Source organism: Homo sapiens, chromosome 10, assembly GCF_000001405.40.
Source record: "Homo sapiens chromosome 10, GRCh38.p14 Primary Assembly".
In the NCBI taxonomy this organism is placed as follows: domain Eukaryota; kingdom Metazoa; phylum Chordata; class Mammalia; order Primates; family Hominidae; genus Homo; species Homo sapiens.
The window spans coordinates 132,445,184-132,468,635 of record NC_000010.11 but is presented as its reverse complement, the minus strand read 5'-3'; the positions used below and the strand labels follow the sequence as shown (position 1 = coordinate 132,468,635).

General features: G+C 63.9%; 2 long non-coding RNA genes across 4 annotated transcripts, besides 7 other annotated features; both read right to left on the bottom strand.

Moving 5' to 3' along the window:
- Positions 1-544: 544 nt before the first annotated feature.
- LOC105378569 (uncharacterized) lies at positions 545-6,543 on the bottom strand. Of its 3 annotated transcripts, XR_007062344.1 has the most exons (4): positions 6,352-6,543; positions 5,858-6,085; positions 3,760-3,826; positions 2,450-3,202 (listed from the first exon to the last, which is right to left on the bottom strand). It is a non-coding gene; the product is annotated as an uncharacterized LOC105378569 (long non-coding RNA). The 3 variants fall into 3 exon arrangements; XR_007062343.1 differs by having other exon boundaries at positions 545-3,826; XR_007062345.1 differs by lacking the exon at positions 5,858-6,085.
- Positions 2,795-3,385: an enhancer, noted in NCBI's record as "H3K27ac-H3K4me1 hESC enhancer chr10:134278755-134279345 (GRCh37/hg19 assembly coordinates)". NCBI's record gives its function as "activates a minimal SCP1, AML or CMV promoter by ChIP-STARR-seq in naive H9 embryonic stem cells {active_cell/tissue: H9 hESC(naive)}" and the evidence as "EXISTENCE:reporter gene assay evidence [ECO:0000049][PMID:30033119]".
- Positions 9,987-10,036: a silencer, noted in NCBI's record as "silent region_2968". NCBI's record gives its function as "represses an Ori minimal core promoter by ATAC-STARR-seq in GM12878 lymphoblastoid cells {active_cell/tissue: GM12878}" and the evidence as "EXISTENCE:reporter gene assay evidence [ECO:0000049][PMID:35858748]".
- Positions 14,482-15,346: an enhancer, noted in NCBI's record as "H3K27ac-H3K4me1 hESC enhancer chr10:134266794-134267658 (GRCh37/hg19 assembly coordinates)". NCBI's record gives its function as "activates a minimal SCP1, AML or CMV promoter by ChIP-STARR-seq in naive H9 embryonic stem cells {active_cell/tissue: H9 hESC(naive)}" and the evidence as "EXISTENCE:reporter gene assay evidence [ECO:0000049][PMID:30033119]".
- Positions 14,482-15,529: a biological region, named in NCBI's record as "H3K27ac-H3K4me1 hESC enhancer GRCh37_chr10:134266794-134267658".
- Positions 15,100-15,529: a silencer, noted in NCBI's record as "silent region_2967". NCBI's record gives its function as "represses an Ori minimal core promoter by ATAC-STARR-seq in GM12878 lymphoblastoid cells {active_cell/tissue: GM12878}" and the evidence as "EXISTENCE:reporter gene assay evidence [ECO:0000049][PMID:35858748]".
- Positions 19,999-20,068: a silencer, noted in NCBI's record as "silent region_2966". NCBI's record gives its function as "represses an Ori minimal core promoter by ATAC-STARR-seq in GM12878 lymphoblastoid cells {active_cell/tissue: GM12878}" and the evidence as "EXISTENCE:reporter gene assay evidence [ECO:0000049][PMID:35858748]".
- Positions 20,099-20,338: an enhancer, noted in NCBI's record as "active region_4225". NCBI's record gives its function as "activates an Ori minimal core promoter by ATAC-STARR-seq in GM12878 lymphoblastoid cells {active_cell/tissue: GM12878}" and the evidence as "EXISTENCE:reporter gene assay evidence [ECO:0000049][PMID:35858748]".
- Positions 20,330-23,447, bottom strand: LINC02870 (long intergenic non-protein coding RNA 2870). Its single transcript, NR_149317.1, has 3 exons — positions 23,358-23,447; positions 22,857-22,940; positions 20,330-20,899 (listed from the first exon to the last, which is right to left on the bottom strand). It is a non-coding gene; the product is annotated as a long intergenic non-protein coding RNA 2870 (long non-coding RNA).
- Between the last annotated feature and the right edge of the window lie 5 nt (positions 23,448-23,452).

The following is a 23,452-nucleotide window of genomic DNA, read 5'->3' as shown; positions in this document are numbered from 1 at the left end:
CCTTCCATCTCCTCCCCTCCCCTGCCTTCCCTCCCCTCCCCTCCCCTGCCTTCCCTCCCCTCCCCTGCCTTCCCTCCCCTCCCCTCCCCTGCTTTCCATCTCCTCCCCTATCCCATCTCCTCCCTCCCCTCCCCCTGCCTCCCATCTCCTCCCCATCTCCTCCCTCCCCTCCCTTTCCAGCTTCTTCTCCTCCTCCCCTTCTCCCTCCCCGAACTCCCTCTCCTTCTCCCTCCCTTCTTCCCTCTCTCCCTTGGTTCCTCTCTCCCTCCCTTGCCCTCTCCCTCTTTCCTTGCCTCCTTTCATTTCAGCGTTGAGCGGGATGAATGGGCGTGAAGACCCTCAGTCTCCCCTTGTATGCAGGCAGGGAGGTGGACCTGAGTCCTGTCAGCGCCAGACCAGCAGGACTCTGACCACCCCCAGAGCGGCACCCTGTCCCTCACCTCCCCAACACCCCCACGACCCTGGCGCCTCCCAGGGGCTGTTCCCCCGTCCCCTCCCGCCCTGGGAGCTGGCGTTGCCCCGCCTGCCTGGAGCCGGCCTTGGGGCCGCACAGCTCTGCTCAGTAGCGTTCCTCCCTTCCTTAGCCTTGAGCCTGAGACAGGTGTCCCCTGGCCCCACCCAGCACCTTGTGCTCATGCACCGCGTTGAACCGTGGCTGGCCCTGGGAGGGGGATATCCTCCCTTGTGAGGACGTGAGGGGCTGCAGGTCAGAGGCAGCTGGTGTCCTGCCCTCCTCCTGCCCCCAGGCAGAGTCCTGGGCAGGTGGCCTTGGTGGACGGGCATCTTCCTGGGCCCTCGGGAGCCGCGGTAATGAGCTGTTGCGTAAGCGCTCACCTTTCCTCTCTGGGCGGCTCTAAGGGCTTTTTGATTTAATTGCCAGTGTATTTCCAGAAGCAAAATCTGGGGCACTGTGGTGAGAGCAGCCTGGGGAGACTGGGCAGCAGGTGGGGCCAAGGCTTCCCCACCCCTGGGAGGGCAGCCTCGGCCCGGGCAGAGGCTGGCTTTGGGGGGATGCTGGACATGGGCCGGGTGGTGAGCTGAGCCGGGGCCTGGCGCCCCCTCCTCGAGTCAAACGCCCTCTGCCGAGGGTCCCTCCCCCCACGGAGCATCACATGGGGCCCCTCCTCCCCTGCTCAGCTCACGCCCCCACCCGGTCAGCTGGCACTCTCCCTGACTGTCTTTCATCAGGCAAATGGCTGAGTGCTGGGCACAGCCACGGTCCACAGGCCACAGTTACCTGAGGCCTCCTTTTTCAAATTGTCACCCAGGTGTCACCTGCGTGGACCCTGCCGTGTCTCTACCTAAGGGCTCCCCAGCTCAGTGGGTGACACATGGCCCTGGCCAGCTGAGAGCACTGAGGTGGCTGGAGGAGCAAGAGTCTTTCTGTCCAGCACCCAGGGCCTCACAGGGCTGAGCCTCCCTGGCTTTGGCGTCCCCACGTGCAACAGGAAAGGCGGGTCAGGGGAGTTCTGGACTGACCCAGGCCGCCCAGCTTCTCAGGGCTTGCGGTGGGCCTGCCATCCACCTCCAGGGCCAGCTGGGGTGGGGAAGGAAGCAGGACCTCCAGCCACAGGCCGATGGCTCCTTTGGGGAAACCGAGACTTCCATCTGCCTGGCACCTCTTCCCGCCCCGTTGGAAAAAGGACCCTTTCCCACGGAACCTGCACCAAGGCGATGGCCCCACTGGCTTTCTTGCTCCCCGGCCACACAGGGTGGACCCCTGGTCTAGGCCTGGCTCAGGGTAGGGTCCAGTCCACTGGCACTCAGGGAAGCGCTCCCTCTCCTGAGTCTCCAGTCCTGGGGGGTCGGTCCTTTTGGAGCCTTCTCTACAGTCCAGGGGCAGAGCCTGCCTTGGGAGGAGGCGGCGTGGAGGGTGTGATGGAGACCGGGCTGGTCTGAAGCCCTCTGAGCGGAAGGGAGCTCCTTCCCGGGGGCCGAGGACAGCAGGCTCAGCAGGCCAGACGGTGGTGGGAGGAACTGCAGGGTGCCGGGGTGGGCCGGGCACGTCCTTGGGCACCAACCAGGCGGGGCCGTGTGTGACAATTTTAGAAAGGATTTGATATTTGTTATTTCAAAAAAGGCATCCAAGCTGTCTCTGTGGGAAAGAACAGAACTCTGACCTTTCACCCATTCGATGGCTTAGTGCTGTTGTTATTTCAAATCATACACAGGGGGCACCCTGATCCTTCAGCGCCAGGGGCCTCAGAGGGTCTCAGCTGGAAGTTTGCATGCAGGGCCGGGCGGGTTTGAGTTGAGCACACAGAGCAGAGGGGTGGCAATGTGGGCACGACCTCAGCCCGGCACCCTGGCCTGAACCAGGCCTTGGCAGCCTGTCTGGGGCAGGCTGGGCTGTGCTGTGGCCACAGGAGGGGCCCGGTGGGGGCTGCATCCCCTCTGGCATCCCAGGGCCAGCCTGACTGCAGCCTCATGGCTCCTGAACACCCTCCAGCTGGGTCCCAGTGGTGCCCCTCAGGCCCTGTCCCTGGACCAGCCCTCACTCAGAGCCACCAAGGGGGTCTGTTGGGAGGGGGCTGGCCGGCCTCAACCTGCGGGCCCGGGCGTCTCACCTGTAAGGTGACCTGGACGGGACCAGACATGACCCCTGTCCTGCACAAGGCCCCCTGCGTGGTCCGGGTGCCTGGGCTTCCCCATCTGTAAAATGGGAGCGTGACCCTGACCTTATGCAGGGCTTGTGAGGGTCACCGGCTAGGCCTGCACGTGGTGCTCAGCGCCATACCTGGCGTCGTGGTCACTCGTCTTCCTGCTCCGCCCCCCGGGCCCTCCTGATGTCACGGAGACAGAGCCGCCTCCCTTCTGCCGCCCCCTCGCTCAGGGCGTGGTGGGGACTCCAGCTGGTTCTCCACGGCCTCCTGAGCAGGGGCTACAGCCTGGGCCACCTCCTCCTGCTCTGAGCACGCAGGCCAGAGAGCCCCGAGCGGAGGGCCGGGTGCGGTCTGTGAGGCTGCACACTCCTGCTTCTGGGGCCTTCCCCAGGCTGGGCTCGGTGTGACTGACGGAGGCTGCGGAGCTCTTCCGGCTCTGAGCCAGGCACGGAGGCCGGGCTGTGAGTCTCCAGAGGGGCTGTCGGACACGCACCTGAGGGTCCGTGAGGGCCAACGAGCCGTTCAGTAGCAAAGACCTTCCTAAGGGAGTGTGTCCTGGGGCAGGCTGGGCCCGGAAGGATTGCGGCGGGGGGCTGCAGCTGTGTAAGCACGGGGAGGGTGGCGCTAGCGAGGAGGAATTGCTGGGGAGCAGTCCTTGACTGGTGACTACACGCAGGGAGGATCTGGCTTGTGGGACCTTACCCTGGGGATGGCAGGGCAGGGTGGGGCGGGGCAGGGCAGGGCAAGGCAGGGCAGGGCAGGGCAGGGCAGGGTCTGGCTCTGTGCTGCCCACTGGGCTGTATCCACAGGGCATCCGCAGGGCCGCCAGACACTGCCCAAAGCCACCAGCACCCACCCTGGACTCTGCAGAAACCAGCCTTGCACCCTCAGGGAAGGCCGTCAGCCTTTGAGCCCCTGTGGGGGGACCTGCTGCCCAGCAAAGGTGTGGGAGTAGGGGCTGGGGACCCTACCAGGGGGCAGGCACTGAGGCTCTCCATGCTGGACTGTGCTGGGCCACACCTTCTTTCAGCCTTCCCAGGCCTGTGCCCAGGGGGCCCTGGGTTCTGGTGCCAGCAGGGAGGCCAGCCTGGGGTCCTGAGCCACCATCCCCCAGGGAAGGGCGCAGGCCAACGTCCTGACCCCTGCGTGTGCCTACCGTGGGCCAGGATTTGCTGTTCATGTGATCCTGCTCCATGCTGTGACGTCAGGGCTACTGTCACCACCTCACAAGGAAAGAAACAGGCTCTGAGAGAGAGGCCAGGGAGGGCCCCCAGCCACAGCCAGCCCTCAGCTAATCCAAGTCTGCATGTTCCACGTCCTGGGCTCAGCTCCCTGCCCTGCCTGGCCGGGAGGACGGGGACTTCTCTGGCCCTGGCCAGGGCCTGGCTCAGGCAAAGCATCCTGGAAGCTTCTGGGTTGGGGCAAGCACGGGATCTGACTCTCAGCCAGAGAAGAGAACCAGCCAGCGTTGTCCAAGGGAGGCCCAGCCACCCCTACCACACCCGGGAGGCAGCGAGCCTGCTCCAAGGGAGGGAGCTGGGTCTCTGGGCAAAGCAGACAGCGTGGGGTTCCCTGGAACCAGGAAGGGCGGTTGGCTCCCCTTGGCCAAGGGCAGGCAAGCATGGCCTCCTCCTGGAAGCCTGGGCCGGTTCCAGGCTTGGACAGAACAAGCTGGTTTTCACTCCGGCAGAGAACACGAGGATCCGGCCGAGCCAGCGACAGCCTTTCCAAGACACGTGGGCAGGCTGAGCAGCCCTGGCCCCAGGTCCCCTGTGGGCCTGCCAGGAGGCATGCCGCTGTGTCAGGGAGGCTGTCCTTAGGGGCGTGTGGGTAGCCAGTGAGGGGGACCACGGCCCCCAGCTCGGTGATGGATGCATTCAAGGCTGGGGCATCTCCGGCTGCCAGGCCCTGGAGCTTTGCAGGGTGCATCAGGGTTCCAGACCGCCCAGGCTTGAGCACAGCGCCGCCATGCACGTCTGTTGACTCTGGCGAATGACTCCTCACTTTCCCCAACTGCGGTACGGGCACCATCAAAGCCCCCGACGATGCAGCTCCAGGGACCCTGTGAGTAGCTCAGCCTGGTGTGGGCGGCCCAGACCCACCCACCTCCTGCCCTGGGACCTGGGTGCTGGGAGCCGTCTGTCCCGGCCTCATCACCGGCCACGCACTCCTGGGAGAGGTCTTTCCCATAATCACTCTGGGGTCCGAGCACGTCCTGCCCATCTCCTCAGGCCCACTTCCCTGCAAGGGGAAGGGGCTCCTGGCCCACAGAAGCCCCATGGGGCTGGGCCTGTGGGGCTGGACATGCTTCTTGAGCTGCAGAGGCATCTCACTCCCTCCTGTGGCCAAAACCCTCCAGAACCTGCCTGCTCATAAAAATGATGGCACACGCACTGTGCTGGGCCAGGGCTACGGAGCACCCAGACCAGGAAAGCTCTTGTGCTCCTGCCGACAAAGCCCACATGTAGGGTCAGTGGCTGGCACGGGGCAGTCTGTTCCCAGCTGAATATGCTCAGAACCTCCTTGGAAAAATCCCATATTGGTCAGGGCAGAGCCCCAGAAGACACTGGCCAAGGGCGCTGTCAGGATTTGGGGACTCTGGCCCTGGGGCCCAGCCCCCCACCGCCTGGCAACCTTGGAGAAGAGGCTCAGGGTGGCAGTGATGCAACAGGCCACCCTGCGCTGCTCCGACGGCCTCTACGGGCCGCCCTGCGCTGCTCTGATGGCCTGGCTTTCCACCCTGTCCAGCGTTGCCTGGGGCCCCGGGCCAGAGACTGGCCATGGCCCGCACCCCAGCCTCGGGTGGCCACCGGCAGAGCAGCGCAGGCTACTGCCCCTGGGGCCTGCTCAGGGAGTGGGAACCACCCCTCTCTCCAGGAAAAGATGTGGAGCCTCGTGGAATTGACCCGATCCCCACTGGCCACGCCGGGCAGCCTCGGACCAGCCTGATGCCCTCACCCAGCCCGAGGCCCCACTCCAGGGCCTCTCTCCCAGACAACTGTGCAGCTGCTGATGACTGAAGAGGGAGAAGGAGGGAAGGGGAGGGATAGAGCAGGCGCCCCAGGAGAGGGGCACCCAGGCCCTGCAGTGTGGACCTGGCATTCCAGCGCCATGGTGTGCATGAGCTGTGCTCTGCCAGGGCTCAGTCTAAAGGGCTGGGAAGCCCCATGACTGTGGGTTCCACACAGCGATCCGTGCCCACCGGCAGCAGGTGGCTTCCTGAGCCGCTGTCCCTGCGGGGAGTAGAGGCGTACCTGCTTGCTACCCGCCTGGGCCTCCAGATGGAGGTCTGGGCTTTGCCCACCAGCTCCAGCGGCCGCCGGGCCAGGAGGAGCATGGGGCCCATCGAGGGATCCCCCTTTCCTCTGCCAGCAGCAGGTGCCTCCCGGCTGCCCTGACCTCCACGTGCTGGGCTACTCTGGGTGCTCATCGCTGGAGGGTGGGAGCCCGGAGTCCTGCTCACAGCCAAGTGTCCTTGCGGTCTGGAGACCCAGGTAAAACAAGGCATGGGCTGAGGCTGCGCCTCCTGTGGGATGGGGTGCCTCGGCCCTGCAGGGGCCCAGCCTGTCCCTGTGGGTCTCCCTACTTTGTCAGGGGTTGGGTGCCAGCACCTCCCTTTCCCTCCTGGAGCCCAGCCTTCCTGCTCTCTCGCCGCCCGTCCTTGAGCTGAAGCCCCCCACCCGCCCCCTCCTCAGTTTTGTCCCCCAACCCCCCACCATCGTTATTTCCTTATTTAGGGCCCACACACCTCGAGGCAGCTGGGCCTTCCGAGAAGAAACTGCAGGCCCCATTCTGCTGGGACCTCTGGGACGGTGGCTCCCCGTGGTTCCGAGGCCCGCGGAGTCCAACCACCTTCTGTGTAATTTAGAATCGACCTGAAGAATCTCATTCTCAGCTCCCCAGGGAGCCCCCAGCCCGCCCCGGTTCCGGAGGCTGCTCTGCTTCCCAGGAGGAAGAGCCCAGTGACCTGATTTCACCCAAGGCCCAAGGAGGGGCCCGGCAGGGCAAGGAAAGCTTGGGGGAGCTGGATTGGGTGCCGGGTGCAGGGCTGCAGGCTGGACTCTGCTAGGACAGCCACCAGCAGCGGGCACAGCTGAGCCCATGCCTGCTTGAAACCAGCCAGGGCAGGTGGCAAAGGGCAGGCTGCACCCTCAGCCTGGAACCTCGCCCAGGGAACCGGGAGATGCCTCACAGGAGTGACTCGCACCTGCCCCTCTGGGACTCCCTGGACCCCACCCTGCTGGGGCGGCTGCATCACACACAGGCCCCTTCTGCAGCAAAATAAGGCACCTCGAAGAGGTCACAAGCTGAGAGCTCCCCAGTCTGGTGACCCAGCCCGTGCCGCCCTAACTGCTGGCCCTCAGTCAGCCTCGCTGGAATGGCCTCTGCATGCCCCATAGGCCCTCGTCTCCCTGGGCCACGCTGAGTGCTCAGCTGCCACGCCTGGCGTGGGGCGTAGTTAGGCCCCACCCGGATGTGGGACGCCCATGGCTCTTCCTCTCCTGTTCCGGAGCCACGGCCACACGAGCACAGGGGAATAGCACTGGACACAGAGCAGAGCCAGCCATGCCCCCAGGGAGGTGTGCACAGGCCAGAGAGTGCCAGGGAAGCAAGAGAGAGGGGCTGGGGGCAACAAGGAAGGGCGGGAGGGGCTGCCAGGACGGGGAGACAGGAGGGCTCCTGAGAGGAGATCAGATGGAAAGCACTGTTAGCTGGGGGGGAGAGAAGAAGGGGAGGAGGAGGATGGAGGAGGAAAGAGGAGGAGGATGAAGGAGGAGGGAGGAGGATGGAGGGCAGAGGAGGGAACTTGACAGTGGAGGGGGAGAGCTGAGAGCAGGGCAGGCCTGGGGTGCGGGGCCCTGGTGTTGCTGTGAATTCCAAGTAGAGTGCCAGCCTGTCCTTCCTTCCTCTGGAGTCTGGGGGAGACACAGGGGCTCTGAGTGGCCTTGGAACAGGCAGGTCCAGGCTGGTGTGGCTGAGGCTCTGGCAGCCACCGTTCCTCCCGCCTGGGACCACTCTGGGGAGGACCCCCAGGCTCCAAGGGCATGGAGAGGTCCTGCTAGGACCTAATGGAGCTGCAGGTCAGGCAGAGCCTGGAGTGTCCCTGCCATCCCAGGAGGGCCCCTCACTGGCCTGGGGAAAGTAGAGGCAGCCCAGACAGTCTGCAGCCACCTCCACCCAGGCCAGGTGGGGACAGGGCCCCTGGGAGGCAGAAGCAAGGGCAGTGAGAACCCGGCTGCTCCGTCCATCTCTGTGCTGGCCGAGCCCAGACAGACCCTCTTCCCCAGGGGATCCCACAGCATGCAGATGCTGCCCCCTACTCCAGCACCCTCCAGGGCTGCTGGGCAGACCCAAAGTCCATCCTAGACTAGCTCCACAATTGGGAAAGCCTGAATAACCACAAAACAAACCGAAGTCATTCTTCACTGTCCCTCAAGGAGCAGATGTTGGAGAAGTTTGAACCTACATGGGGCCAAAACCACCTAACCGGGACCACCTGCAACATGGCTCATTGTCCTTGCCGCCTGAACTCAGCACTCCCCTCTGCAGTGCCTGGCTGCAGAGGGGAGGGGCCACGTGGAAGGCAGCAGAGAAGTGGCTGGGCGCTGCATGGAGCATGGGCCGGAGGCCATCGGCCGCCATGGAGAAGGCGATCCCTCACCTGGCCAGCTGGTTTAATCCCAGGTCTGTGCTCTCAGCATCTGGCCCCACTTTTCAGCTGCAGCCCCCACCCTGTGTTGGTCACCCACAGGTCACCCTGAGCTGGACAGGCACACCCACTGCAAAGCTCAACTCCGGGTGTGAGGCTGAGGAGGCCGCAGGCACCGGGACGCTTTTGGAGACTGTGTGAGGGCAACACCACCGTTGGAAGAGACCCCCACGTGGGGGGCACGCCCGAGATGCACCCCAAGACATCCACGCCCTAAACCCTCTGACCTGCAAATGTGTTACTTTGCATGGCAGAGGGAACTGAGTGACCCTAACATGGGGACATTGTCTGGATCATCCGGGTGGATCCCCCGAGTTACAAGAGTCCAGAAAAGGAGAGGAGGGAGGCAGAAGACGAGAGTCCAGGGAGACACGAGGGTGGAAACTCAGCTGGTGGCTGCTGCTGGCTTCAACAGGCAGGAGGGGCCAGGAGCCGGGAACGTTGTGGCCTCTAGAAGCTGGAAAAGGCAAGAAAACGAATTCTCTCCGAGTCCCCAAAGAACACACAGCTCTGCCCACACCCTGGTTTCAGCCTAGTGAGATCTGAGTTGGACTTTGACCTCCACACTGTGGGCTCACAGGTGGACTTTTCAAGCTGTTCAGTTTGTGGCCATCAGTTAGAGCAGCCACAGGAGACTCCTCCACCACCTTTCCGAAGCCTGCAGCCCGGCAGAGAAAGGAGCACGTGGCCTGTGCACCGCCAGACTGCACGCAACACAGCTCCCACCATCACCAGGCACCTGCGGCGGGTCTGAGTTGTTCTGTAGACAGAAGTGTGTGGGGGTCCCAAGGCTGAGTGTGGCAGAGCCACCTGCTGAGGTCCTGGTCTACGGGGGTCTCCACCCAGCCTCCTGACCCCCATCAGAGCTGGCAGACAGCCTGGGAGGCCTCAGAGGCTGCGGGGCCAGGCCTCACCTGACGGGAGGGTTGCCAGGGCCTGAGGCAGGAGCACGGCCGGTCTGCGGTGGTGCGGGGAGCCATGCCGGGGGCCGAGATCAATGGGAGACCCCTGTGTCCTCGCTCACTGCGGCACACCCTCCAGTCACACCCTGCCCTGTGTCCTCTCCCACTGCGGCACACCCTCCAGTCACACCTTGCCCAGTTTAAAAGTTCACAGCCCAGGCTCTTCCAGGAACAGGGAGGGCCAGACTCCCAGACTGTGTGCAAAGCGGCTGCCCTGCCCTGGTGCTCAGCTCAGGGTGCAGACTCCTGGAGGGATGACGATGACAAGGATGACGATGATGCCGGTGCACACAGGACGCAGGGACCGCGGCGGCCATCACAGCACTGCACCTTGGAGGTGGGAAACCTGGCAGGGCCTGCACATTCCACGACGGGGGCAGTGAAGCCCAGTGACTGGGGAAATCACAGTGGGAACCGCCTGGAGGACGCGCCACAAGCTGATGGCAAGGCAGACGCTTGGCCTGTGAACCCCATGTCCTCTGTAACTGTGCTAGTGGTTTTGTGGTCAGAGGTCTTTTTGGAGAAGCATTTGGTGCTGTTGGCTCCAGGGTGGTTTCCAGGGGGAATGGGAATGCGTGCGGAGAGGCAGGCTCCCATGGGGCGTGGGGCTCAGGGCACAGGGCTGTGGTACAGGGCGCGGGGCGTCGGGCACCTGCTCACGTGGGCGGGGTGCCCTCTGCTGGTGGAGGTGGGCACGGCAGCGGGCTGGGCGCTGCGGGCTGGGCGGAGGGGGCTGCGCTGTGGCCCACAGGAGTTGGGGAGCATGGGGGGCAGTGTTCTGGCCACACTGTTCAGGGCCGTCTCCAGCTTCCGTCTCCAGTCCCAGGAGCCACTTCCACCTGCCGGCTCTGGGGGACTCGCTCTTTTGGGGGCCCTTGATATCTGAGGATGGGAGTCCTAGGAAAAGTGCCACCGTGGCCACCTTGGTCTCTTTCCTGAGAGACAGACTTGGCATTGATGATGCTCCCTGGGGAACGCCATTGCCCAGAGCAGCCAATCAAGCCACTCGGGTGGACAGCGTTGCTCAGGCGCTCCTGGCGTCAAGGAGGTTTTCAGGCCCCTGATCATGCTGGGTCCCGGGAACACCCCCTGGGCTGAGGCTCTGGAATCTGGGTGGGATGGTCTCTCCTAGACCCCCTCAGCGGGTGCCTGTCATCCACACAAGGCTCAGCCTCATAGGCTCCACGCCAGCAGGGACCATCACCGCCTCCATCAGGGTCCACATTTCCCCCACGTCGCGGGGCCTCTGCTGGCACCCAGCCTTCTATGCTCCTGCCACGAGCACGGCCTCCTTGGAGGATGGGAGCCACAGACAGGGCCAGATGACGAGGAGAGAAGGTGCCCCAAGACCTCCGTGTGCCCACGCCCCTCCCTTCGGGGACGGCCGGGTGCGTTCCTCCATGCCAGCCAGTCAGTGCAGAGCCTGCAGCCCACAGCCGCAAGGAGGTAAAGGCTGAGGTTGGCTGGGCCCTGTGGGATCCGCCTCACATCCACTCTCGGGTGCAGGCGGGAAGGAGGGGTCCGGATGGTGCCACCTGGTGATCTGGCACAGGCAGGTCCCTCATTGGGGTGATGGCTTCCCGGGGCCCTCCAGGCCCCTCCTGGCGGTGGGTATTGGTACCTCCTGTGCTTGGTGGCTGCCCGCGAAGCTGTCCCTCCCCTGCCCTCCCTCCCCAGGCACCTGCTACCCACCTGCTTACCGCGGGGGTGAGTACTTTCTGAGGACATGAAAAGGAGCCAGAGGCTGGCAAGAGGCAGGTGTTGGGGTCCAAACCCACGGTGCTCCGGGCTCTGAGGAGGCTGCATCCGGCTGCTGAGGTGGGTTGGGGGCTGGGGTGGTCCTGACTTAGGCGGCAGCAGGGAAGCACATCCCAAAAGGGAGGCTGGCTGGGAATGTGGGGCTGGCTGGGGAATTCAGGCGGCACCTGGGGCAAGCCACCCTGCCTCAGTTTCCCCTTCAATCAATCATCTTGCCTTTACACCCACCCAATGTCAGCCTCTAACATCCGGTGTGGGCAGAGAGTTGGCACACCTGCCTGTACTGAGATCCTGCAGAGATCACTGTCCACACTCTGAGGCCAGGGCTTGGCAGAGATGCTGACCCCCTCCAGGCACCTCCAAGGGGCTGCAGAGACTGACAGCCCAGCCAGGCCACAGGTGAAGAGGGCTTGAGCTAGACCAGGCCGTCCGCAGGGGCAGAGGATGAGGGCCCTGACCCAGCAACACTGCACAGAGGCTCTGGGCTCCTGCAGGGGCCACGATCACCCCCAGGAGCCACCTCCACTGGCTGGAAGTGCTGCATGGGCTCCTGCCGGGGTTCTGTGGCACCTGCTGCCCACCTGCTGCCCCGCTGGAGTGAGTGCAAAGGTCTGGAAGTGCTGGAGAGCCCACAGGGAGATGGGCTGGACAGCCCAGACCCCAAGGCAGCTTCCTTCACGCAGGGTCGCGCTCAGGAAACGATGGCCTCCTGGCTCTCACCTGAGCACACGTGGCTTTCTGCATGGTTTGTCCATGCATGTCCCATTGGCTCCCAGCATTGCCATCATCTGCCAAGCATTGCGGTTGCTGGGGAATGAAGTTGTCATCTCCCAGTGACAGCATGGCCTGAACCTTGCTCCTCTCCCAGGACCCAAGCTCCCTGCACGGAGGACAGAGCATGGTCCTTGCTCCATCCAGGCTCCACCCACAACACCCTGCATCCTCGCAGCCCAGGCAGGGTGCCCCTGTGGAGGGGACACCATGCCCTGCCACGCAGCCTCAGAACAGCCTCCTGGAGGGCACACGCTCCTGTCCCTGGGCCGTGCGGACACTCTGGCCACACGTGTGTGAGGGGCCTCATGGTCTGGAAGCGGTGTGGTGGCAGCCACATGGCAGGGCCAGCACCAACTCACACCTCAAAGCATGTCGTGTCTTGGGGAGGCCGTGGCCAAGGTGGCCGCCTGGCTCAGCCTCTGTGGTCCTTGGGCCCTGGTCACAGGACTTCCTATGCAACATGATGATGTGCCTGACATGGGGTCTCAGCGGGAGCAATCAGCTTCAGTGCAGGGTGTGCAGCAGAGCAGGCACCAGAATGCACACCCAGGACTGTGTCCCCCCAGGACTGTGCCCATCATGGACTATACCCCTCAGACTGTGGCTGCTGGTAGGATGCACCCCCTGTGGACCGCCCCCCATGACTGTCACCCCCACAGTGCCCCTCTCAGGCTGTATCAGACGCCCTCTGTGAAGGAGCAGGCTCTCCGGAGCAAAGGAGGCACAGGAGCTTTGCGGAGACATGTGCCATTTCCCCAGCCCCACCTGTGCTCCATAAGGACCCTCCTCAGACCTACAGAGAGGGGCTGGCCTGGAGGGTCAGCCTGGGAGCAGGGCTGGGAGAACTGAGACCCCCACAGCTGGGACCCTGAGCACCAGCACCCTGGCCTCATTGGTGACCTGAAGTCCTGCTGTCTCCACCCACAGGGCTCCATCCCCGTCTCCAGGGACTCCTGGCACCCTGAAATGCAGACTAGCAGCTGGCTCCCAAGGTTCTGAGATCTCTGGCCTCAAACCCCTGGCCTGGCTTTCCCTCTGCTGCTGGACTGTGGTATCAGGTCCTTCCCTGCACTGAAAGGCGGCCTTCGACCCGGCCTCCCATCCCCACACGCCCCAACTCGTGCTCCCTTGGCACAGGGCCGCTGGCTCCTCCCACACCTGGCCACTGAGCAAGTGGGGGCCAGGGGACCGCAGCTGGGAGGGACTCGGGAAGCCTGCCCAAGTTATCCTACCTTAGCCGGAACTTCTGAGTCGTCCAGTCCCGGCTGTGGGCTGCCCATCCCTCCCTACGTGCTGGGCTCACCTGCCACCAAAACGGACAAAAATGCCAGGAGATGCCGACCCGTCCTCGGCCACTCGGGGCAGCCGGAGTGTCCTGTCCACCTGGGATTTGTGCTGCTGTCACGGTCGCTCACACATCATCCTCTTTGAGACGTCAGTTTCAAGACTTTTCCACGTGGGGTCACCATGGCTGAGGACTCAGGCTACTCAGAGGAGCTTGGCGCATGGGCCTGACCCCAGCGTGGATGGATGCCCATCTGGGTCTCTGTGCTGCTGGAACTGGAGTGGAGTTGGAAGAGAGGCGCTTCAGAGCTGCTGGAGACAAGCACACCCCAGGCCCATGGGAAACCTGGTCAAGGCTGGCCACAGCTCAAGCTTGCCATCCCAGATCTTTGGGAGGCCGAGGCAGGAGGATCACTTGAGGCCAGGAGTTCAAGACCAGCTTGGTCAACTGAGAGAAACCTCATCTCTACAAAAATAAGTTTAGAAATTAGCTGGGCATGGTGGCGCATGCCTGTAGTCCCAGCTACTAGGGAGACCGAGGTGGGAGGATCTCTGGAGCCTGGAAGGTTGAGGCTGCCCAGCCTGGGCAACAGAGTGAGACCCTATGTCAAAAAGAAAAGAAAAGAAAACCCGTTGGGGGCTGCTGCCTGGAAAAACCACACCCAGGCAGAATTCAGTACTGCCACGCCCCTTCTGAAGTTTGGTTTGAAAATATGGCCATTGCACCTCAGATAATCATGTTTACACTTCTTGACAGTGGAAATTCTTTACCCGGAATCATGCTGGGGTCTCGAGGCCCACAGCGGGACGCCCAGGGCTGCTCTGGTTCTGAGGTGGCTGGGGTGGTGGCTCTGACCCCTTGGCCCTACCCTTCTGGACTCACGCTGGTCACCGGGTCCTGCAGCCTGTGCCCTCTCCCCTGAGAGGACTGGGATGACCTTAGAATTCGTCCAAGAGTGACTGCAGCCCTGGAGTCTCGGACGTTCGTTTTGAGGTGTGTGCAGCTGGGCTCCAGTCTAGGGCCTATCTCTGAGCTGAGAATAACCGCACGCGGTCCCGTGGTTCACGAGGGATCGGTGCAGGCTGCGGGGAGATAGACGTTTGTGTGCCGTGGGGGAAGGGGGGCCCTGGGCTCCCTGCGCACCTCTCCCTGGAGACTCAGAACTAGAGACCTCGCCACTAGACCCACAGACGCTGCCCATTGCTCCTGGGATGGCTCCGCAGACGTAGCCTCCTGATGCGGCCTCACCCTGGCAGCCTGCGAAGAAGCCACATCTTTACCTTACGGAGACGGCTTCTTTCCTTAAACCTCATGAACCAACCTCTGTGGACTTCAGACTTTTCTTCTGCAGCTTCCTCACCCTCTCCACCTTTGTGGAGTTGGAGAGAGTTAGGGCCTTGCTCTGGTCGAGGCTCTGGCTTAAGGGAGGGTCATGGCTGGTTTGATCTTCTGTCCGGACCACTCGAACTTTCTCCACATCAGCAAGGAGGCAGTTTCACTTGTTGGCAACTGTGTGTCCACTGGAGTAGCATTTTAACTTCCTTCAAGGACATTTCCTGGGTATTCATAACTTGGCTCACTGGTGCAAGAGGCCTAGCTATCGACCTTGGCCTTCACCTGCCTGCCTCACTCAGCTTAGCCATGTCCAGCTTGTGATTTAAAGCGAGAGACCAGCAACTCTTCCCTCCACTTACACTTAGAGGCCATCGTGGGGCTCTGCTGTGACGTGTCATGAAAGGGGCACACCTGTGGGGGACAACACAGCCTCTGCACAGTCTCTTCTGAGTCCAAACTCGGGACCACGCCCTGGTGCCTCGGAGAGGGGCCAGGGAGCCGGGGCTTGGCCACCCACCTCTGTGCCTGGGGTCCTGACCTGTCCCTCAGCCCACGGCGCGGTGTGCGGCACCTGCCACGGGCCGTCCCGCCCTGGTCTTCGCTGTGTCTTCTCCACCTGGGAAAGCTCCAGCTTCAACCCTGGGGCTCAAAGCCAGAAGGCTCCTGCCCCTACACCCTCCTATGAGCCTCCTCCGGGCCCTATTTAGCAAATGGTTATGCAGGTACATTCATGCATAAAGACTCGGTTCTCTAAGTCCCTGCTCTAGAAAGAAGTCATCGTGTCCCCCTCTCGCAGCCGCCGCGTCTGTTTGTAAGCCCTGCAGGGGCCACTCCGGAACGACCCCCCGGGCCCCGCCCCGCGGCCACGCGGGGACGCGATGCTAGGAGGTGTCGGCAGGGGGCGCCGCTACACCGTCCAGCCCCTTTCCGGTTCCTGCGGGGCCGGCGGGGGGTGGAGCCAGCGCCCGCCCTGCCCCGCGACCCCGCCCCTGGGAAGTCCCCGCGCACGGGACTCGCGGGGCCTTCCGGAGCCGCCTTGGACAGGTGCCCGGGGCTCTGCTGTTTGCAGAAGCGTCACCACCTGCAATTTTCTGCACATTCTGCAGAACAGTGTTGGGGGGTGGGTAATGTGATCCTGGGGTACAGAAGGGGAAACCGAGGCACAAGAGATTTATCCTAACCTGGCCTTAAATCTGGCTGCTGGGAAGTGGCCACGCAGGGCCTAGTGGTTCACTCTTCCCCTGTCCTTCCCAGGCCCCGCCCCCCCCAATCCCTGGTGGACTGGCCCCTAGGTGGGCTGTGGGCACTGGGAGATGTTCCTTGCGGGGCTCAGTCCTGGGGCCTCCTGCACGGTGCTGGGTGGATCTGCCTAGCCGGGACTGCCAGGGCTGAGGTGCTGGAAACACTCAGGTTCCTAGGTAGGGCTCAGCCCCCAGGGGCAGGAGGTGAGGGGTCATCCTTCAGCCTTAATGGCCAGGCCTGACTGGGGCCTGGCAGGTGCAGCAGGACGGGCTACTTGGATCCCTCAGACCTCCAGTCCCTCCCTCCCAGCTCCATGGCCTCCCAGAGGTCCCCAGCCAGGACACAGGCCTTTCCAGAGCTGCCTGGGGAGATCAGGGTCAGGGTGCCCCTCCCTGGTGGATCCTGCCGCACATGGAGAGGGTGGTCTGCCTGAGTGGCGCCGGCACCTCGTGCAGTGTGAGGTCCCAGGCGCAGCGTGGGCGTCTAGGCACAGTGCGGGCTCCCAGGTGCAGCGTGGGTGACAAGGCACAGTGTAAGCTGCCGGGTACAGCGTGGGCACCCAGTGCCTGGGGGAGCTGCATGCTGGGTGGCAGCTGTGTCCTTCTGTATGGGACCAGCAGAGGGTGTCACGCCCCTCTAGGGCAGCGCTGACCACCCAGAGACTGCAGGGTCGGGTCCCTGGGCAGCAGAGGGCCCTAGGGCTAGGCAGGGCCATGCTGGGTGCCTCTGGTGCTGGAGCCCTGTGGCACCTTTGGCTGGACCCTGACATGGGCTCCCCACCCCACCCTCAGGCCCAGGCGGCTCCAGTGGCCACTCAAGGGCCACGCCCCAGGTACAGTGCATGGCTTTACCTGGAGGGTATGCGGGGCCACCCCCAACACACATATCGCTGTCCCCTTTCCCCAACACACGGACGGCTGTCCCCTTGGGCTCAGCTCCTGCAGGCGGCTGCAGCGTGCTCCCTGCCAGACTGTGGCAGCCAGCGCAGGGGTCCCGGCACCCCAGCATGCCCCACCCAGCACCCTGCTCTTCCACAGGGAGATGCTCCCCTCTTGCCTTCCGTGCCACCTTCCCCTCTGGCCCTGAACATCCTGATTTCTTCCTCCACAGCCAAAGTGTCAGCCAGGGGCTGCCTGCAGGTCCTCACCCACTAACTCACTCATTCAGCAACCGCAGGTGAGGCAAGCCTCTGTGCTGACCCGCCGGGCGCCGCCCCTCTGTTGCGCATGGTCTCCTGGGAGAAGGTTCCTGGAGGCAGGAGCTGCTCCCCTGCCCAGGATGGGGCCAGCAGGGAGGCAAGGGGTGGCCACGAGGTGGTCACCCATTCCCCTGGAATGCTGTGTTTTGGGGGGCCCTTGTCAAGTGAAGGTAATGGCTCAGCTGTTTTGGGACAAGCCCATCTGAGCCTGGAGCATGGTTTGGAACAGCCAGAGCCTGGAAGGTGCTGGGGGAAGCTGCCTTTGCATCTGAGCCCTGTCCAGGTCCCAGCCAGCTCCCAGCCCTGCGTGCTCCAGGCCAGGTGGGCTCAAAATGTACCCTGAGCTCTGAGAGGGCAAGAGAGGGGCTGACATAGACCTGGCATAGAGTGGGGCGCAGTGCTTGGCGGGCCCACCCCTCGCCCTGCCTGTTTCCAGGATTCAGTTCCCCTATCTGCGAACTGTAGAACCAAAGCGGACATCCCCAGGAATTCTAAGACGCTCAGACTCCAAGGACCCTCCCCCATTCAGCCAGGGGCCGCCCCTTCATTTCCTCGGGCCAGGCCTTGTAAAGGGTGGGCCCCTCTGAGGACCTCCAGAAAGCTGATCCTCCTGACTGGGGGGCTGTGCCCTGGGCTTTGGAACATGAGGGGGGGCCCAGAGGTCAGCCCTCCCTCAGCTGGCCCAGGTCCATGTCCAGTGACCTGTGGGACCCTCAGAGTCTGTGCTGGCTGGACACACTCCTGCCACTCCACCCTGTGCTGCAGTGTCCTGGGACCAAGGCTCCTTGACAATGACCAAGACCTTTAGGTGGTTTCTGCACCCTCAAGGAGGGGGGATGTGCAGGGGAAGGACAAGGAGAAGTGGGGGCCTGGGGGGCACGGGCCTGGACTCCCAAGTCCAGGGTGGCTGACGTGAGGGCAGGGGGCCTCTCAGGGGAGCCCCAGGGTGACCACCCTGCCCCCCACTCTCCCTTCACGAAGGCCACACCGCAAAATCCACAGGATAGGACAAATACCTCAGTTTGGGGCCAAGTCCGCCCCTTCCCACCAGCAGAGGCCTGGGGAGTCCCTCCCCGCACACAGATCCCCAAACACTCAGAGCCTGCCCTCTGTCTCCTTCCTTCTGTCACCTTCTCCAGGGTCCATGGTGGGGGCTGGGATGGCAGGACCTCGGCGGGGAAGAGTGGGAGTGGGGTGCCTCTGAGCACGGGAGGGCCTTCTCAGGGCAGCAGCCATGGCCCAGGAGCCTCCTCAGTCAGGCTGGGGAGGGGACCGGGGTGGGGGATGGGGTCGGGGCTGGGGTGGGGGTTGGAGTAGGGGTTGGGGTGGAGGCTAGGGTGGGGCCTGGAGTGGATGTTGGGGTGGGGGTTGGGGTGGATGTTGTGGTGGGGGCTGGGGTTGGGGTGGGGATTGGGGTGGGGGTTGGGGTGGGGGTTGGGGTGAGGGCTGGGGTGAGGTTGGGGTGAGGACTGGGGTGGGGGCTGGGGTGAGGGTTGCGGGGCTGGGGTGGGGGCTGGGGTGAGGGTTGGGGGCTGGGGTGGGGGTTGAAGTAGGGGCTGGGGTGGGGGTTGAGGTTGGGTGGGGGTTGGGGTGGGGGCTGGGGTGGGGGCTGGGATGCCTCCAGTCTGCCAGGGCTTCGAAGTGGCCATCATGAGGATCGGGCATTGGGGAGCCGGTGCCCACCCACCCACTCATGAGCTCCCCAGCAGAGGAGGCAGGCCCCAAGGCTGCCAGTGGGGAGATCCCTGGCTCCCGGGTGAGATCCACCTGCCAGGGGGCTCCACCGACTCCCCGAGCACCCCCCACCCCAGCAGCCCTACTTCCTCCCATTACCTGGGAAAGGCCAGCCCGTCGCCACAGACCTGCATGGGCATACTGGCTCCGTGTCAAAGTCAGACATGAATATTTCACGAGCGGCATCATAAATAATGCAATTATTTAGAAAGACACTGAATATTTTATAGACCGAAGTGCAGCCCAGTTTAAAGAGGGGATCCACATCATGAGGGGCTGGTTTTCTCGTCCACGTGCTGAAGGCCAGAGTGGCACGGGGGGGCACACCTGGTACCGGCTCCAGAGTGGCATGGGGGGGCACACCTGGTACCGGCTCCGGCTGCAGCCCCCACCCCCGCTGACCCCACGTGTCCTCATCAGGGTCCCTTTGGGCCCCACACCTGCCTTCCCAGAGCATCCCTCTGCTTTAGGGGAGTAAATGGAAGCTGGGTTCCTGGAGAACAGACAGAACCTTCCAGGGCCCAGGGCCTTCCACCTCCTTCCTCCACCTCCTGGGCTCCGTTCTCCATTTCTCCTCCCAAATGGAAGTTTCTTTTCGGATTTTTACATCTTCCGTAATGAATAGCTTTTCTAGTACTTTATTTTATTAAAACTTATAATTTATTTTGAAAACCAAAAGCCCGAGACAAAGGCGTGAGTCCCATAGGAAGTGCTGGGGTGAGGTGGGCAGGACCAGGCAGGGGCTGGGGCAAGGGTGGGAGGGGCCAGGCCGGACTGGGGCAAGGGTGGGAGGGGCCAGGCCGGACTGGGGCAAGGGTGGGAGGGGCCGGGCAGGACTGGGGCAAGGGTGGGAGGGGCCGGGCAGGACTGGGGCAAGGGTTGGCGGTGACACGAAGGGTTGGGACGAGTGGGAGGGGCCAAGCAGGGGCTGGGCAAGGGTGGGAGGGGCCAGGCCGGACTGGGGCAAGGGTGGGAGGGGCCAGGCCGGACTGGGGCAAGGGTGGGAGGGGCCAGGCCGGACTGGGGCAAGGGTGGGAGGGGCCGGGCAGGACTGGGGCAAGGGTGGGAGGGGCCGGGCAGGACTGGGGCAAGGGTGGGAGGGGCCGGGCAGGACTGGGGCAAGGGTGGGAGGGGCCGGGCAGGACTGGGGCAAGGGTGGGAGGGGCCGGGCAGGGCTGGGGCAAGGGTGGGAGGGGCCGGGCAGGACTGGGGCAAGGGTGGGAGGGGCCGGGCAGGACTGGGGCAAGGGTGGGAGGGGCCGGGCCGGACTGGGGCAAGGGTGGGAGGGGCCAGGCAGGGCTGGGGCAAGGGTGGGAGGGGCCGGGCCGGACTGGGGCAAGGGTTGGCGGTGACACGAAGGGTTGGGACGAGTGGGAGGGGCCAAGCAGGGGCTGGGCAAGGGTGGGAGGGGCCGGGCAGGGCTGAGGCAAGGGTGGGCGGGGCCAGCCAGGGTTGGGGTGAGGTGGGCGGGTCAGGCAGGGCTGGTGTGAGATGGGTGGGGCCAGGCAGAGCTGGGCTCCCTCAGGCCTGGGAGGGGCCGAGGTCCCAGTGGTTAGGGCAGCCTCATCTGGGAAAGGGACCCTCCTTCTCCTTCTTAGGCGGTCTTCTCTTTTCCTCCTTTGTGGTTAGAATTAATACTGTTAACGTTCTTCTCGGGCTGTAATTAACCGTCTTGTTAGCCCTGGCTGTCGGGGCTGATTTTCCCTTATTCTCTCAGTGTCCGGTGTTTCAGCCTGGAGCCATCACTTACTTAGTATTTTAATTAGGAATTTTGACAGGAGATTTGTTTCCTGCCTCTGCCCTCTGCCTTCTCCCGGAGATAAGGGATTGTGCCTCTGGAGACCCCCAGGCTCTAGACCTGCCCAGGGCCAGCGGCAGTGGGCGGAGAGGGTCCTCTCCCCTTGGGTCAGCCCGGCCTGGCCTCCCAGGCTCACCGCCTGCCCCTTGAGGGCCCAGAGCCGCCATTCCCCGCTTCAGGCTTCGAAGGCCGCATTCCTGAAACCCTGACTAACAGACGCCTGTTCCCACAGGCCCAGCCCAGAACTGGCTCTTCCAGCCGCCTGTGAGGCTTGATCTACCACGGGAGCTGCCTCAGCCAGGTCTGGGCCACTGGAGTGCGGAGGCCGCGGGCGCCCGGAGGCAGGGGCGCTGGGGTGCTGGGGCTGACGCAGAGAAAGCGCTCTCGTGGTCTGGGGTTGGCCTTGATGAGAAATGGGCGACGTGCTTCTTGTCTGAGGTTTCTCTGTGAACAGGAAGCTGAGAACCCATGTGTACTGAGTTATCCTGGGTGCCTGTGGTCTTTTGAGAGGTGGGGAAGTGGGCGAGAGGGAGAGATTAATTCAGACAAGAAAGGAGGGAAGGGGAGAGAAGAGGGAGGAGGCTGCACACAAGAAGGGGCCCGACTGGGAGCCCCTCCATCCCCCACCCCGTTAGGAAAAAGCCCAGTGGACCTCGCCCTGCCAGGCCCTGCCTGAAGCACCTGGGTGTGATCAGCCTGGCTTCCCCAGGGCCCCACTGCGCCCCCACCTTCAGTCCCTCCAGCCCAAGTCTGGGCCACGTGGAGGCTCTGAGAGCCTGTCTACACCACTGCCTGGGGCAGCCCTCCTTGGGCCCCAGGGCTGGGCTTCTGGGCCTACGGGTGACCCCTGCTGCTGGAGGGAGAGGCCCTCTGCCCAGTCCCTGGGTCTCTGGCCATCGGGCCCCAGAACCGCTTCCTGATGACCCTCGGATTCAAAGCTGAGGCAGGAGGGGTTTTCAGGAAATCCCAGCCGCAGGAATCCCAGGCACAATCCCACAGCTGGGCCTGGTGCCCCTCTACCAGGGGCCGGGCTCAGGGGCTCCCATGGGCCTCTCAGGGGACCCCCACCCATGCGTTGATTCATGCACTTCCTGCCCTCCCCCGCCCCAGCAGCTGCTCCCGGCCACCTTTCCCTCCTCTCATTGACCCCTGACCTGCCAGTGCCAGGGGCCCCCCAGAGCCGCATGGAAGGTCCTGCTCAGAGAGCACCTGGGCACCCAGCCTCTCCTGTCCCTCCTCTTGCCCCTCCTCCTCCCGCTTCTCCCAGCTCCCGCCCTTCACTTCCTCTGTGCCCTCCCACAGTGAGGCAGCAGGGGGCAGAAAGGCAGGCTCTTCCGGGCCCTCCCAGGCCTCCCAGCACCTGAGGCCTCCTCAGCCTGGACCAAGTGCGGGGTGCCCAGGCCCCTGCTGTGGCTCTGGAGAAAGGCCAGGCTCCTTCCCAGCAGGGTGGGCATCCTGCCAGCCCGAGCAGCTGAAGCACTGACCTCAGGACCCCCACCTCCTCCTGCCCACCCCACCCTCCTGTCTGGGCCAGGCCGGCGGGCCATCTTGCACCTTCTGCCTGGGTCTAGCCCTCATCTCTCCTTCCTCCCACTGCCTAGGTCCCTTCGGTACTCCACTGCCCACAAGCCCCTCCAAGCTGGGGCACGGGCCATCCGGCTCAAGGCTGGGCCTCGCCAAGGCCCACAATAGCTCACCTGCTAGTGCTTCTACCCCGGGCCTCTCCAAGAAGCTGCTGGAACCTCCCCACACGCCTCTGCAGGTCAAGGGTACCCAGGGCCCACCCTGAGGCCCCTATGCCCTCGCCCTGGCCCCACCACGGGGCTCCTCTGCCCAGACGTCCCAGGTCCAGAGTGGAGGCTCAGCCTTGGGCCTCAGTCCGCTCCCGGCCCGGATGTGAGGGTGGGTCGCAGCTGCACGGCCTCGCTGCCCACCAGGCCTGCGGAAGGGAGGACACGCCCTCCCACAGACCCTGTGATGGCGGCTGCCATGGAAGGTGTCTAGGCCCTTTTGGGCATCCCCTGCCCCCGTCTAGGTCCCCAGGTACTTGCAGAAAAGAAGGGGTGAGCACAGCCTTCTGTAAGGGGGCGCCCGAGTCCTGGCCAAGGTGGCCGCCCACCCTGGGGCTCCACAGTCCAGGCAGCCACCTCTTCAGTCTCTCCCCTTAATGTGGGGCAGAGTGGATAGAGGGACTCCCTCCTCTGACCAGCCAGGCAGGCAGGGAAACCCGGGCACGGGAGCCCAGGGCTGGTGGCCATGCCCTGAGGGAACTGGCTGCACTTGCAGCCCAGGCCACAGGCCCCAGGACACCCCAGACCTCTTGGCAGGACCCCAGGGTTAAAAGGCAGTTTGTGGCGCCACTTCTCCCCTGATGATGGACACCTTGAAGGGGCTCTGGGCACCAGCGGAACAAACGTCATAGGGAAACTCAGCAGCTGACCTACCACCAGGACCCACCTGTCCTCTGCCCTCCCAGAATCCTGGTCATGCGTCCAGCAAGCTCCCAGGGAGGACACGCCAGGCACTGGGCCCATGGACACGCTGTAGAGAAACGCCGCAATCGTTAGGGGCATGTGACTAAGACGCCTCCTTCCCATAGGCACCCACGGGGTGCGGCTCTTTCCAAAACGCCACATTAAAACAGCTGCAGGAGGACCGAAGGGGCCTCGTGCCCATCCCCTGCTGCTACTCCCCAGCCCGCCCTCAGCCTCCTGCCGCTGGAGCTCTGCCCACCTGCACACCCCACTCTTCTTCATCCCCAGCCCCATAAGCGAGACTACCTTGAGGCCAGTAGGTGCTTCCTGAGAGTTTAGGAATAACAGGGGAACTACAGCAAATAGCAACAATTTTAAAAGCAAACAAGGCATCAGCCCTTGCCATCCTCAAGCCGTGACCACCCCTGCCCAGGACGGAGCTCCAGCGGCTGCACACTTCCCCCAGGGCTCGCCCTGCAGCTACCTCTCAGCTCCTGGGAGGAAACTCCACATTTCAGCTGCTTTATACCCAGAGAAGCCTCCTGCCTCCCTTCCCAGTCCTGGCAGATCCTGGGCCTC